Raw genomic sequence first — 14,093 nt, forward strand, 5'->3', positions numbered from 1 at the left:
CAAAGACTCAGGGTCAGTAGTTTAGACCAAACCAAAGGCACATGGCCATGCCTTCCTGCAAGGGATGCTGGGAAATGTAGTCTTTGGACATTGGCTGACACTGTGGTGTCAATCACCCTTAGAGATGCTGTGTGACTAGATCACCCTTAGAGATGCTGTGTAATTAGAAGGAAGGAGTTCTGAGCACCCAGCACAGTGTTAGGCATCAAGGAGTCCCCTGGTGATTCTCCCATCATTCACTGAAGCTGACTCTTCATTACTTGGGACTAAATCCCTTCTTCCAAAGGGATTGCGATCTAGGGATAGAAGTGACTTATTGGTTTTAGGTACAGGCTGACAATCCCTAATCTGAAAATTTGAAAAATTGAAAATGCTTCAAAATCTGAAACTTTTTTGAACGCTGACATAATGCCTCAAGTGAAAAATTCCACATGGGTACTTAACACAAACTTTGTTCCATGCACAAAATTATTAGAAATACACAATTACCTCTGCTAATATAAAATTACCTCTGTATGTGTATTATTAGAAATATATAATGATTAGAATATTAATTATTAGAAATATACAATTACCTCTGCTATGTGTATAAGGTATATATGAAACATAAATGAATTTCCTGTTTTGACTTGGGAGCCATCACCAAGATATCTCATTATGTATATGCAGATATTCCAAAATCCAAAAATATCTGAAATCTGAAACTCTTCTGATCCAAAGCATCGCACATAAGGGATACTCAACCTGTCATAAATGTGGTTGGGCAAAGCCAAAGGACCAATCTCCCTGTGTTCCCAGGAGTGTTTCTCCAAGCTCTACCCCAGATCCAGCTGCACCCTCGTGACACTTTGAAGTTGAGAATCTGGGGGACACCCTTTCCATCCTCTGTCCTTCTCACTCACAACCTGCCCAACTTGACCACACCTGCATCACAGAAAAGCTGTTCAAGGCTCTGCTTTGAAACAGGGGGCATCAGCGACCTGTCAGCCATTCCATCATCCAACTTGCCTTCCTTCTCTCATCTTACTCCCAACCCCCACTGCTCTTTCTACAAGACTAGAGGTCGGCTACAGGGCAGGGTGGCTCAGAGGAAGTGGGGTCTCCTCCCACGGGAGCCCAGCCTTGGCTGTTCTCATGGTTGGGTTCATCCCATGGTGGAGAGGTATAGATAGTGGAGTTGATCAGCAGCTCTTTCCTAATAAGCAACAGGAAAGAAGGCATCAGTGGGACTTTCCCAGAGGAAAGAACTTGGGTCAAAGCAGTGCTTTTCAACTGGAGCCTATTCCCCACCCCCCTGCTCCCACCCCGGGGATATTAGGCAATATCTGGATACATTTTTGGTTGTCACAGCTGGGATGGGGGTGTGAGTGTTACTGGTATCTAGTGGGTAGAAGCCAGGAATGGTGCTAAACATCCATGGCAAACTTGTCCAACCTACAACCCATGGGCCACATGTGTCACAGGACAGCTTTGAATGTGGCCCAACACAAATTTGTAAACTTTCTTAAAACATGCCGGGCATGGTGGCTCACACCTGTAATCCCAGCACTTTGGGAGGCCAAGGCAAGCAGATCACCTGAGGTCGGGAGTTCAAGACCAGCCTGACCAACATGGAGAAACCCTGTCTCCACTAAAAAAATACAAAATTAGCTGGGTGTGGTGGTGCACGTCTGTAATGCCAGCTAGTCAGGCGTGGTGGGGGGTTGGAGGGGCGCCGGGCTGAGGCAGGAGAATCGCTTGAACCCAGAGGTGGAGGCTGCGGTGAGCCGAGATCACACCACTGCACTCCAGCCTGGGCAACAAGAGAGAAAATCCATCTCAAAAAAAAAAAAATTATGTGATTTTTTTCGTGATTTCTTTTTTAGCTCATCAGCTATCCTTAGTGTTAGTGTATTTTACATATGGCCCAAGACAATTCTTCTTCTTCCAGTGTGACTCAGGGAAGCCAAACAACTGGACACCCCGTCCTACAGTGTAGAGGACAGGCCCCCACAACAAAGAATTATCTGGCTCAAAATATTAACAGTGTCAAGGCTGAGATGCCCTGGCTTGAAGGGAACAATGATGGTGTAGCTCAGTAGTTAAGACTGTGTGCTCTGAGGTCAAAGGCTTGGGTTGAAATCCCAGCTCTGCCACGTGGCAATTATGTGGCTTTGTGAAAGTCCCCTAACCTCTTTAGCCTGTCTGCATACCTGCAGCATTGGTACCTACCTCTGGGGTTTTCAGGGGTTTGGATGAGTTAATCCCTATAAGGTGTTTTATACAATGCCAGGCACATTGTGCTCCCTCAAGTTTGCAAAACTGGATTGAATAAGATAAATACTAATATATATGAGAAATTTCCATGCTGAGAATTATAATATTCAGACCCTGTACCGCCACTAAAAGGAAAGCAAAGGTTGATTCTAAAGTTGAAAACAAAAAACAGAAATCTCCTGTGGTTATGCAAATAGTGTTCCATGCAGAACCAAGAGGTGAGGCTGCCCGAGAGAGAAGCAAATGCAAGTCCAAGTTGCCAAACCCAAGCCGTTTGAAGGAGGATGGTCCAAACAACCGACCAAGTGGATGCTTTATCTTACCTTCCCTTAACTGCTCTTAACCATGCCACATTTTAGATTGTTGGAGATTTGGACCACGCCTTTCCTCACCCAGATTTCTTGTGTTTCGGGCCTCATCGAGAAGGGATTGAAGGAGGTGAGAGAAAAAACCATTTGGATGCTTCCAGAGAGAGCAATCTAGGCAGAGGTAACAGTAAGCATAAAGGCCTGAAGGCAGAAACATAAAGGCAGTAAGCACAAATGCCTGGAGGGAGAAGGTCTGGTATGTTCAAAGGCCAGCAAGGAGGCCAGTATGGCTGGAGCAGGGTGAGGAGGAAGGAGGAGTCGTGGGGTTGGGGGACAGACCAGACCCTTCTTGTTCTTGGGTTCTACTCTACTGAAATGAGAAGCTATTGAAAGTTTTGAACAGAGGAGAGACATGACATGACTTGGTTTTAACAGGGTCCCTCTGCTATTGGGTGGAGAATGGACTGTAGGGGGGCCAGGGTAGAGGCAGGGAGCCCACAGAGCAGGGCACTCCAATAGCCCAGGTGGGAGAGGATGGCAGTGGGATCAGAGGGGTTATGGCAGAGAAGGGGAACAGTGGTTGGATTTTTGGTATATTTTGAAGCTGGGCCAATAGGATTTGCTGATTTATATGGTTTAGTGCTGTGTCCCCACCCAAATCTCATCTTATAGCTCTCATAATTCCCATGTATTATGGGAGGGACCCAGTGGGAGATGACTGAATTATGGTGGTGGGTGTTTCCTGTGCTGTTCTTGTGATAGTGAATAAGTCTCATGACATCTGATGGCTTTAAAACAGTTTTCCTGCTCAATCTCTCCCTTTGCCTGCTGCCATCCATGTAAGATGTGACTTGCTCCTCCTTGCTTTCCACTATGATTATGAAGCCTCCCCAGCCACGTGGAACTGTAAGTCCAATTAAACCTCTTTTGTAAATTGCCCAGTCTTGGGTATGTCTTTGTCAGCAGCATGAAGACAGACCGTTACACTGATAGATTAGAGGTGGAGGATGAGAGAGAATGGCATCAGAGGTGACTCCAAGTGTTTTGGCCTGAGCAACGGTAGAGTGGGCTGGCTAGCAGCCCCCCAGAGATATCCCCAAGTCACAACACCTGGAAGCTGCAAAGTCAACCTTGTTTGGAAAAGGAATCTTTGCAGATGTAACTAAGTTAAGGATTTCAGGATAAGATTATCCTGGATGTGGGGAGGCCCTGGAATCCAATGATAGGTGTCCTTATAAGAAAAGGACAGGACACAGAGACACACGGAGGGGAAGGCCAAGAGAAGATGGAGGCAGAGATTGGAGTGATGCGGCTTCAAGCCAAGGAACCCCAGGAGCTGCCAGCAACAAGGCATGCTGGAGAGAGGCAAGGAACGGGTTCTCCTTCAGAGGCCCCAGGAGGGACCCACTCTGCCAACACATTGATACCAGACTTGGGCCTCCAGGACTGGGAGAGGATGCATCTCTGTTGTTTTTAGCCACCCGGGTTGTTCCTTGTTCCCACAGCCCTAATTAGGAAACAGATACAAGCTGGAAAGACGGAGTTGCCACCAATTGAGATGGAGGCTATAGGAGGAGCAGGCAGTTTGTGCAAAGGGGATGGGGGAATCCCTATAACTCCTGTGCAGGGATGTGAGGGTCAAGAAGGCACTGTGGGTGAAGCATCTCCCATGCCTGACCTTCTCCCACCTCTTCCTGCACCTGACTGCTAGGCTCAGGTCTCTGTCCTCCACCCCTTCCTCAGATAGGCCTGCCTTCCCCATTGCCTAAAATGTCCCCATGCCACCCACGGTGCCCCATCATCCTGCCTCATTTTCCTCCCAGCACTTAATCTTCTCTGAAATAACCATATTCTTTGATTGCTTTTGGTCCTGTGTTTTCCCAACACCGAGAAAGGCTCTCACAATCTCTAGATTTGCACAAAGGTGGGGCTTTCTCTGTTTTTATTTGATTTTTTGTTGTTTTATTTTTTAAGTTTTGTTTTCTTTTTTGACTCCGCAAGGGTCTGGGCAGTGCCTGGCCCACAGTAGACTCCTAAGAAGTGTTCACTGAGGGGCAATTAGGAGGTGCTTAGTGGCTGCACCAGACCTTCAGCATCCTAGACCCCTGGCTCTGACACTTACTGCTTAAGAATCACCAGGGCCACTTACTGAAAATGTACAATCCTGAGAGCCGGACTTACTAAGTCTGGGTTTGGACTTGGAAACATGCATTTTTAACAAGATCTCCACTGGGTTCTGATGCCAGTGTCCTGGAGGGGGCCACACTTCATGATAAGCTATCATCCCAACCCACTCAGGGAATGGCATGGAGTCCAGAATTGCTATTGGAACACTGCCCTCCTCGGAGGCTCCTGCCTGCTGGAGGCGTGGTGGCCTGATGATTGGCATCACTCCTGTAGCTTGAGGGTCCAGAGTGTGGACTCACATGGCGCTTCAGACCCTTCTCTGAAGCCTGACTCTTTGGGGGCAGTGCTGCAGATTGACAAAGGGTGTTTCTGCACAGGCCTGACTCACACAACACTGGAATGGGCCGGGAAGGAGCCTCCCGGCCAGACGCCCACTTTGGTACCAGCCCTGGGTTATGTAACTCCAGATGCCTGTGACTAACCCATGGCCCCGAGGGCATCTCTGGGTGGGGAAAAGATGAGGGCTGACTTCTCCAGAATTTAAAACGAAACATCTCAGGACTATTTATAAAAGCACAGGACACACTAGGGGGAAGTTCAGATAAAGGCCGTGGAGGGGTGCAGACAAGGAAAGGGAACCAGGAGGTGTACTTGCAAACTTGACCTACTAAAGGCATGGCTTCCAGAGCTCTGAGGACAGTTGACCTTCAAAACAACGATTGACCTTGGGGAAAGGATGAGTCACAGAGGCTCCAGGGCCTGGTTCCTGCTGGCAGAGCTTCCAGCCTCTGAGTCCCAGAGTGTTCTCTCCTAGGAGTGAAACATGTACTTGGTAGATGTCGGCTGCCTCCACCAAATGCAAAAACGCATCTCATCCTGTGAGCTGACCTTGCTGGGGTGAGGTCTACTTCTTGGGGAAGACCCTGGGCTGCTAACTGGGTCTTGGCTGGTCCTAGGTTTGTGGCAACCAGTAGTCACTGGATCCATCGATGAGAATAAATCTTGTTGGCATGTGGAGACAAGGCCAGGTAGAAGCAGAAGTCAGAGGGCCAGGAGGCAGGTAGGCCCCTGTCTCTATGTTAACTCATGCCAAGCCATAATGGCAGCTCACGTTGATGGAGCTGTCCATGTGCCAGCCCCTGCCTGAAGTGCCCGCAATCATCTCTCGCTTTTCTTCGATAACGGAGTGAGAGGGAAGAGCACGGGGCTGAGAATCAGGGGGCCCAGATGGAAGACCCACTCACCGCTAAATTGTTGGGGGGCCTGGGATGACTTATTACAATATTAATAATGACCACAGCAATGACTACAGCCCCATTCATTGAGCACTCGGCACTCATCATCTCATTAAGCCTTGTCCTGCAATGCCAGAGGCTTTGGAATCAGAGCTGGAGTTTTGGAATCAGACAGAGCTGGAGTTCAAGGAAGAGCTCTGACACTTATGAGCTAGCAACCTTGAACGCATCATTTAACCTTTAGGGGCTCAAAAACAGCCATTGTTTATTCATCTCACAAATATGCAGTCTGGGCAAGGCTTGGCAGGAACAGCTTATGTCTGACTTTATGTGGTGTCAGCTAGGGTGGCTTGCAGAAAAGCTAGCAACCAAAATCCCCGAAGGCTCACTCACTCACAGATGATGCCGATGCCAATACCAATGACGATGGTGATGCAGATCATGATGCAGATGGTGATGCACGTGCTGATGCAGGTGCTGATGCTGAGGCAGGTGCTGATGCAGATAATGATGCAGATGCTGATGCAGGTGCTGGTGCTGATGCTGAGGCAGATATGATGCAGATGCTGGTGCAAATGCTGAAGCAGGTGTTGATGCAGATACTAATCTGACGCAGCTGCTGATGTTAAAGCAGGTGTTGATGCTGATGCAGGTACCGATGCTGAAGCAGGTGTTGATGCAGGTGCTGAAAAAGGTGTTGGTGCAGGTGCAGATGCTGATGCTGGTAGTAATGCTGATGCAGGCGCTGATGCTGATGCAGGTATTGGTGTTGGTGCAGATGTTGATGCAGATGTTGAAGCAGGTGCTGAAAAAGGTGTTGATGCAGGTGCAGATGCTGATGCTGGTAGTGATGCTGATGGTAGTGATGCTTGTGCAGATGTTGATGCAGATGTTGAAGCAGGTGTTGATGCAGGTGCTGAAAAATGTGTTGATGCAAGTGCAGATGCTGATGCTGGTAGTGATGCTGATGCTGGTAGTGATGCTGGTGCAGATGTTGATGCAGATGTTGAAGCGGGTGTTGATGCTGATGCAGGTGCTGAAGCAGGTATTGGTGCTGATACAGATGCTGAGGCAGGTGTTGATGATGCTGCTGGCTCTGAGCTCAAACAGCCAGAGCTCCTTAGGCATTTCTTTTCATCTCTGGGTGATTCCTCTTCATGATCTGTGCAGCATGGTGGTTTAAGGATGGCTGGGTTTGTGACATCACAGCTCAGGGATTCAAAGACATGTGTCCCAAAAGAAACCTGCAGAAGCTGTGCAGCCTCAGACATCATTCTGGCACTTCTGCCACATTCTATTAGCAGAGGCAGTCAAGAATTCATATAATGTGCTTCTGTCATAAAATATTACTCTTCTTTTTATTTTTTTCAACTACTTAAAAATGTAAAAACCATTTTTAGTTCATGGGTGGTACAAAAACCTGCAGTGGACCAGATTTGGCTCCTGGGTGGTCATTGGCTGACACCCAAATTAGATAAACAGCCTTAGGGCCCAGAACCCAGTCAGTGATGGAATTTGAGATGTAATGAGAGAATGGGGACTAGCAGACCATCCCAAAGGTCCCTGCCAAGTTGGAGAATACGAAGCTCTCTCCTTAGCCTGACCACTTCTCCCAAAGACAGAAGCCTCTGCCAGGATCAGGAATGGACAAATGTGGCCATTCTTCTATGGCCTCATGAGTAAGCCATGGCCCTGGGGGTGAGGATAACAGTTGGATTCAGAGGTCAGCATGTTGGAAGGTTCATGAGCTGATGAGAGCTGCCCCTTGATAGTTTTGCATCTTGGAGAAGCGGGTACCTATCATCTCACCTCCCCAAATTTGTGTCCTTTCCCATAAATAGTTGCTGTTGCTATTTTGGGAAGGCAAAATAGCATCATTGTGAAGAGTGTTGGTCTCAGATAATCTTGAGTTGAATCTTGCTAACTGTGTGAACTTGGGCAACTTACTTAACCTCTCTGTGCCTGATTTTCTTCATCTGCAGCATGGAGTTACTAATGACTACCTCTCAGGATTAAACTAAACCATGCATGGGAAGTGATCAGCCAGGGATTAGGGAGTAATCAAGAAATAAATATCAATTGTTTTGATGTTGTTAATATTAGGCTGAGTGGGGGCCAGGCACAGTGGCTCACGCCTGTTATCCCAGCACTTTGGGAGGCCGAAGTGGGCAGACTGCCTGAGCTCAGGAGTTCAAGACCACCCTGGGCAACATGACAAAGCCCTGTTGTCTCTACTAAAATACTGAAAATTAGCTGGGCATAGTGGTGGGCGCCTGTAGTCCCAGCTACTTGGGAGGCTGAGGGAGGAGAATTGCTTGAACCTGGGAGATGGAGGTTGCAGTGAGCCGATATCCCAGCACTGCGTTCCAGCCTTGGCAAGACTCTGTCTCTACCAAAAAAAAAAAAAATTAGGCTGAGTAAGGACTGCTGCCTTCATGGGGTGGTGGCTAGTCATGGTGGAAGACGATGGTATTTGTGGTTGCAATTTGAAACGCGCTATCCTTCAAGCTTTGAACCTGGTGAGATATAGACACAAAAAACAGTTGGTGAACAAAAAACCAGCCTCATCCTGATAAAGCAGCCTAGAAGAAAGGCATGTCCCTGCCCACTGCAAGCTATAGTCAGGAAATGGGGAGTGGCCCTTCAAGGCACAGGGAGATGCCAGAATTAGACACATGACCACACCGGACAGCAAGGGTACATGAGAAAAGCATTTAGTATAATAGTTACATGTTTTTATGGGTGCCTTCTTTATTTGAAAAATGGTGCTAATTTATTATTTTTATTTATTTATTTTTAGATGGAGTCTAGCTCTGTCACCCAGGCTGGAGTGCAGTGGCGTGATCTCAGCTCACTGTAAACTCCGCTTCCTAGGTTCAAGCAATTCTCCTGCCTCAGCCTCCCCAAGTAGCGCGGTGACTCATGCCTGTAATCCCAGCACTCTGGGAGGCTGAGGCAGGTGGATTAATTTATTACTGATGGTAATGATTTTTAAGTTTCCTTTAAAGGACGTTTATGTAAGTGAAAAGAAATAAGTCATAGTAAAGCTGATACCCGGATGTAGACTAAACTCTGAAGGCAGCCTGGATGACTTTCATTTGGCAAGCTCCGTAGGCAAGGCTGGGTCCCCAACACAGCCCTGTAGATCCTGTGGGGAGTACCACCAAATTTTTAAAGTGGATTTGTAAGGAGGAGAAACTGAGGCAGCAGTTGAAGTGGCTTTGCCAGGGCCACTCATTAAAGAGTCTCCGGCCAGCAGGGGATAGATGGAGAAAGAACTCATCAGAGGCCTGTAGACTGCGCTGGGGAGAGGGGATCGTGCGTCTTTGGGACCTGGCTGTCTCTGTCCCACCCCAGTGCCTTTGGGCTCTCCCTAGTTCCTTCCCTCTGCTGCCTTTCTGGGGCAGCCTTTAGGAGAACAGCTCTGACCTGTCCTTTGTATCTTAGCAGGAATGAGTTTGATTTGAGAAGCGGATTCCTTCTCCCCGGGAAAGGCACAAAGTTTTCTTTCCAAGTGCAGGTTGAAACTAACTCCTGGTGAAGAAGCTCACGGCACCATCCAGCATGTACGTGAGGAGTTTTGTGTTCGGAATGTTTTTAACCCTCTAAAATTATCCCACAAGCTCCCAGACAATCCAGCAATGCAACAGTGTCCCTCCCCCACAGCCCAGGATGAATGACAGTGTGGGGAAGTGCACGTTGGATTCTATGCCCTGCTCTGCCACTGGCTGGCTATGTGACCTAGGGCAAATGACTGGATATCTCTGAGCCTCCATTTCCTTGGTGCAAAAGTGCAGCAATAAAGCTAGCCTTTCAAGTGTGAGATGAAGCTGCCACAGCCAACACAAGGGCCCTTCCATGAATGTCAGGCTTCCTTGCAGCCTGTCCCCCCATAGCATCTCAACAGGCACCCTAGCACTCATCTTGAAAAATAAGGCAAGACTTCATCTCCCTACCCACCCTGGAAAATGATGGGAGATCAGTGCTGTGGAGGAATAGCTCAGGCCCCCAAGTAAAAAAAGAAAAAAAAAATTGGGTGGGGCCTAAGGAAATGGCCAGTTCCAGAGATGCGTGCATAAGATGTATATTACAGGAGTGCCGTCATCTCTTGGTATCCGAGGCAGATTGGTTCCAGGACTCCCATGGATACCAAATCTGAAGATGCTCAATTTCCTGATATAAAATTTACATATAACCTATGCACATCCTCCTGAATAGTTTAAATCATCTCTAGATTACTTATAATACCTAATATAATGTAAATGCTATGTACATAGTTATACTGTATTGTTTTTTATTTGTATTATTTTTTATTTCTGTTTTTTTTTTCTATTTTCAAATGTTAGTTGAAACCAACCAAATATTGGTTGGTTGAATCTGTGGTTGTAGAACCTGTGGATACGAAGGGCCAACTGTATTTACAATGGCAAACATTTAGAAGCAATCTAGATGTTAAATCTTATGGGATTTGCTAAGTAAGTCATAGCACTGCCTTAAAGTGGAGCTGGCTTTATGTTGATTGTACACTTGTGTTTACTGTGACTGTTGGTTGACTGGTCAGCATTCACTCCCTCTTCCTCCTTCCTCAGGACACTCAGTTTTCTTTGGATTTCTGCCCCTTTCTGAGGCAGCCATGAGACTCAAGAGAAGCTGACCCCATCCTTTGCTCTGAGGGTAGGCTCTAGCTAGTCTAAGCAACGAGTCAGCACACTTTTTTTTTTTCTTTTTGAGATGGGTGTCTCACTTTGTCGTCCAGGCTGGAGTGATGCAATCTCAGCTCACTGCAACTTCTGCCTCCTGAGTTCAAGTGATCCTTCCACCTCAGCCTCCTGAGGACCACAGGCATGAGCCACCACGCTGGGCTAATTTTTTGTATTTTTGGTATAGATGGGGTTTTTCCCTGTTGCCCAGGCTGGTCTCCAACTCCTGAGCTCAAGCAATCCACCCACCTCGGCCTCCCAAAGTGCTCAGATTACAGGCATGAGCCACCGCACCCAGCCAGCACGCTTCTTATATAAAAGGCCAGATAGTAAATATTTTAGGCTTTGCAGGCCATGCAGTATCTCTCACAATGAATCATCTGCTGTTGAGGCAGACAAGCAGCCATTGGTTATATACAAAAATGATTCCAATAAAACTTACAAAACCAGGCCATGGGCCACATTTGGCCAGCAGGCAGGAGTTTGCCCACTCCATTATAAGCCATTCATGATAGCCCAATCCCCCATCAATAATTGCTTCAGAAACTCAGTCTGAAGCCCACGGGCAGCAGGCACAGCCCTGGGGAGAGTTATTGGTCCCGCAGATGAAGAAGAATAACAGGGAGGCAATGATAGGTCAGAAAAGGCTCCTAGAGTTGGTGACATTTGAGCTGGGGCCTGCAGCTGAAGAGGCAGTTACAGGAAGAGCTTGTGGATGACGATCCCAGGCATGGGGAACTGCAGATACAAAGACGGAATCAGGAGCCAGATGCAGTGGCTCCCACCTATAATCCCAGCACTTTGGGAGAGAGGCTGGTGGATCACCTGAGGTCAGGAGTTTGAGACAAGCCTGGCCAACACGTTGAAGCCCCATCTCTACTAAAAATACAAAAATTACATGGGTGTGGTGGTGCACCCCTATAATTCCAGCTACTTGGGAGGCTGAGGCAGGAGAATTGCCTGAACCTGGGAGCTGGAGTTTGCAGTGAGCTGAGATCACGCCACTGCACTCCAGCCTGGGCGACAGAATGAGACTATGTCTCAAAAACAAAACAAAACAAAACAAAACAAAACCAGAGATGGAATCAGGAAAAGCCTGGTGCCTAGGGCGGGGTGAACAAGAGGTGGGGACGGAGGGTGGCATGGATGGGAGGGGGATCACCAGGGCCTGTTCCCCCAGTAAGGAGCGTTTGAAGAAGCCACTGGAGAATTCAATCAAGGATTTTGAGAAGTGATCTTGTGACAGAGGCCTCAAGAACCATCGCGAAAGTTACACAGCCGATGTTTTTCTTTTTTTCTTTACTTTTTTTTTTTTTTTTTTTGAGACAGAGTCTCACTCTGTAGTCTAGGCTGGAGTGCAGTGGCAGGATCTTGGCTCACCACAACCTCTGCCTCCCTGGTTCAAGCCATTCTCATGCCTCGGCCTCCTGAGTAGCTGGGATTACAGGCACCCACCACCACCACGCCTGGCTAATTTTTTGTATTTTTTTGTAGAGATGGGGTTTTGCCATATTGGCCAGGCTGGTTTCGAACTTCCGGGCTCAAGTGATTTACCTGCCTCGGCCTCCCAGAGTGCTGGGATTACAGGCATGAGCCACTGCACCCATCCGAGAGCCAATGTTAATGGTAGTCACGGCTCGGTGGTAACTGTCACTTTTATGCGTCCTAATTTTTCTATAATATACATACATTATTTGAGTAAGAAAAATAAACATGTTTGTAGCGGGATCAGATTTACGCGTGTGCAACTTGTGCGACTGCACAGGGCCTCGTGCTCAGAAGGACTTTGAACTTAGTTTCATACACTGCTTTTGCTATCCTAAAATTCTTAATGATTTTATCTTTGAACTTAGGTTTTATGAGTGGAGTCTGACAGGACAAGGGAGTGTGTGCCTGAGCAGAGAACACAGGCACAGGACACTGTTTTTTTGTGCGTTTTTTTGTTTTTGTTTTTGTTTTTAATTTTTCTTTTGAGACAGAGTCTCGCTCTGTCTCTAGGCTGGAGGGCAGTGGCTTGATCTCGGCTCACTGCAATCTCCGCCTCCCGGCTTCAAGCAATTCTCCTACCTCAGCCTCTCAAGTAGCTGGGACTACAGGCACACACCACCCCGCCCAGATAATTTTTGTATTTTTAGTAGAGACAGGGCTTCGCCATGTTGGGCAGGATGGTCTCGATCTCTTGACCTCGTGATTCGCCCACCTCAGCCTCCCAAAGTGCTGGGATTACAGGCATGAGCCATCAAGCCCAGCCCAGGACACTGTTTTCACTGTGCCCCACGATTTCAGAGTTCTGTGTGAGTTCAGTGAGACTTAGAGCAAATACAAGGTGAACGTCCCATGTGTGACTGAGTAGGAAGAGACGCTGGCAGCTCTGAAAGCCATGTTCTTTCTCAGAACCATTCACTTGCTGTCAAGGCAGAAAAAAACATGCATGGCCCAGGAACCTTTTCTTACATGTGGGACTTCCCTGTAGTGGTCAACCATTTATTGCTACACACGATGACTTTTCCAGAAGGGGAAAGACAGGGTGACCAGGGTTCCTTCTCCTTTCAACCCTTCTTTATTCATCAGTAAGCCAGAGGCAATGTAGGTATAAATGTGCATGTCTCAAGGAGTGAAATAGAAACAATTGAGAAAGTTTTGTGCAACGTTTCCACTACCCTGGTAAGAACAACATATATACCCATATGCAAGCTCCAAAACACGAATGTTAAAGTTTCAGTGATGCTGCCGATGGGCTCCATGCTCATAGGCTTCTATTTGAAATTGGGATTGCATAATATAAAAATTCATTTATATTTAATTTAATTTAAAATATTTAAATTTTTTTTTTTTTGCTTCAAACAATAATAAATAGCAAATTTTTAAAAGCACAAAAACACCATCTCAAGAGAGGGCCCACAGAAGAAAGCAAAAAGAAAAATGTTTACGTTAGTATCTTTAGTGACGCTTTTTGTCCTGCTTTGCAAACAGGGACCCTGCATTTTCCTTTCGCAGTGGGCCATGCAAGTTCCGGAGCGAGTCCTGTGTGCTCTACAGAAAGAAACGAGACACAATGAGCAGGGACACGGAGCTGTGCTTGGCGGGAGCGGGGGTGACTCTGAGCCCAGGCCCTGCCTCCCACACCCACATTTGCAGAGAGGAAGGAGCTGTGAGATTTGTTTGCACTCAGTTCAGTGAATCAAGTCGCCAGGCGGGCATCAGCAGTACCTTAGACTCTATCACAATATTTCCTTTGGCTCCCGTCTTCACCTTAAAGGTGAAGTTGACGGGGGTTTGCATGGAGCTGCTCTGAGCTCACTCCCTTGGGTCACTCTGGAGGCGTGCAAGCACGAAGAAAGCTCATTTTTCTGCTCTCAAAAACAATCATGCCCTTTCCTTCTCTCATTTATTTTTTTTATTTTGAGTCCAATTTAGAAAGGGCTGGGGGCCGTGACTCAGTCCTTCCTCATGCTCCTTAAAGAGGC

The 14,093-nt window shown here is 47.3% G+C and overlaps 1 protein-coding gene across 1 annotated transcript; it reads right to left on the reverse strand.

Moving 5' to 3' along the window:
* Nucleotides 1–5,230: 5,230 nt before the first annotated feature.
* Nucleotides 5,231–13,659, reverse strand: LOC124904930 (uncharacterized). Its single transcript, XM_047440631.1, has 2 exons — nt 13,557–13,659; nt 5,231–8,442 (listed from the first exon to the last, which is right to left on the reverse strand). Exon 2 carries the CDS (start codon nt 7,052–7,054, stop codon nt 6,320–6,322), a length of 735 nt encoding a protein of 244 aa, XP_047296587.1. The 5' UTR covers nt 7,055–8,442; nt 13,557–13,659; the 3' UTR covers nt 5,231–6,319.
* Nucleotides 13,660–14,093: the final 434 nt, after the last annotated feature.

Source organism: Homo sapiens, chromosome 20 (genome assembly GCF_000001405.40).
Source record: "Homo sapiens chromosome 20, GRCh38.p14 Primary Assembly".
Lineage (NCBI taxonomy): Eukaryota > Metazoa > Chordata > Mammalia > Primates > Hominidae > Homo > Homo sapiens.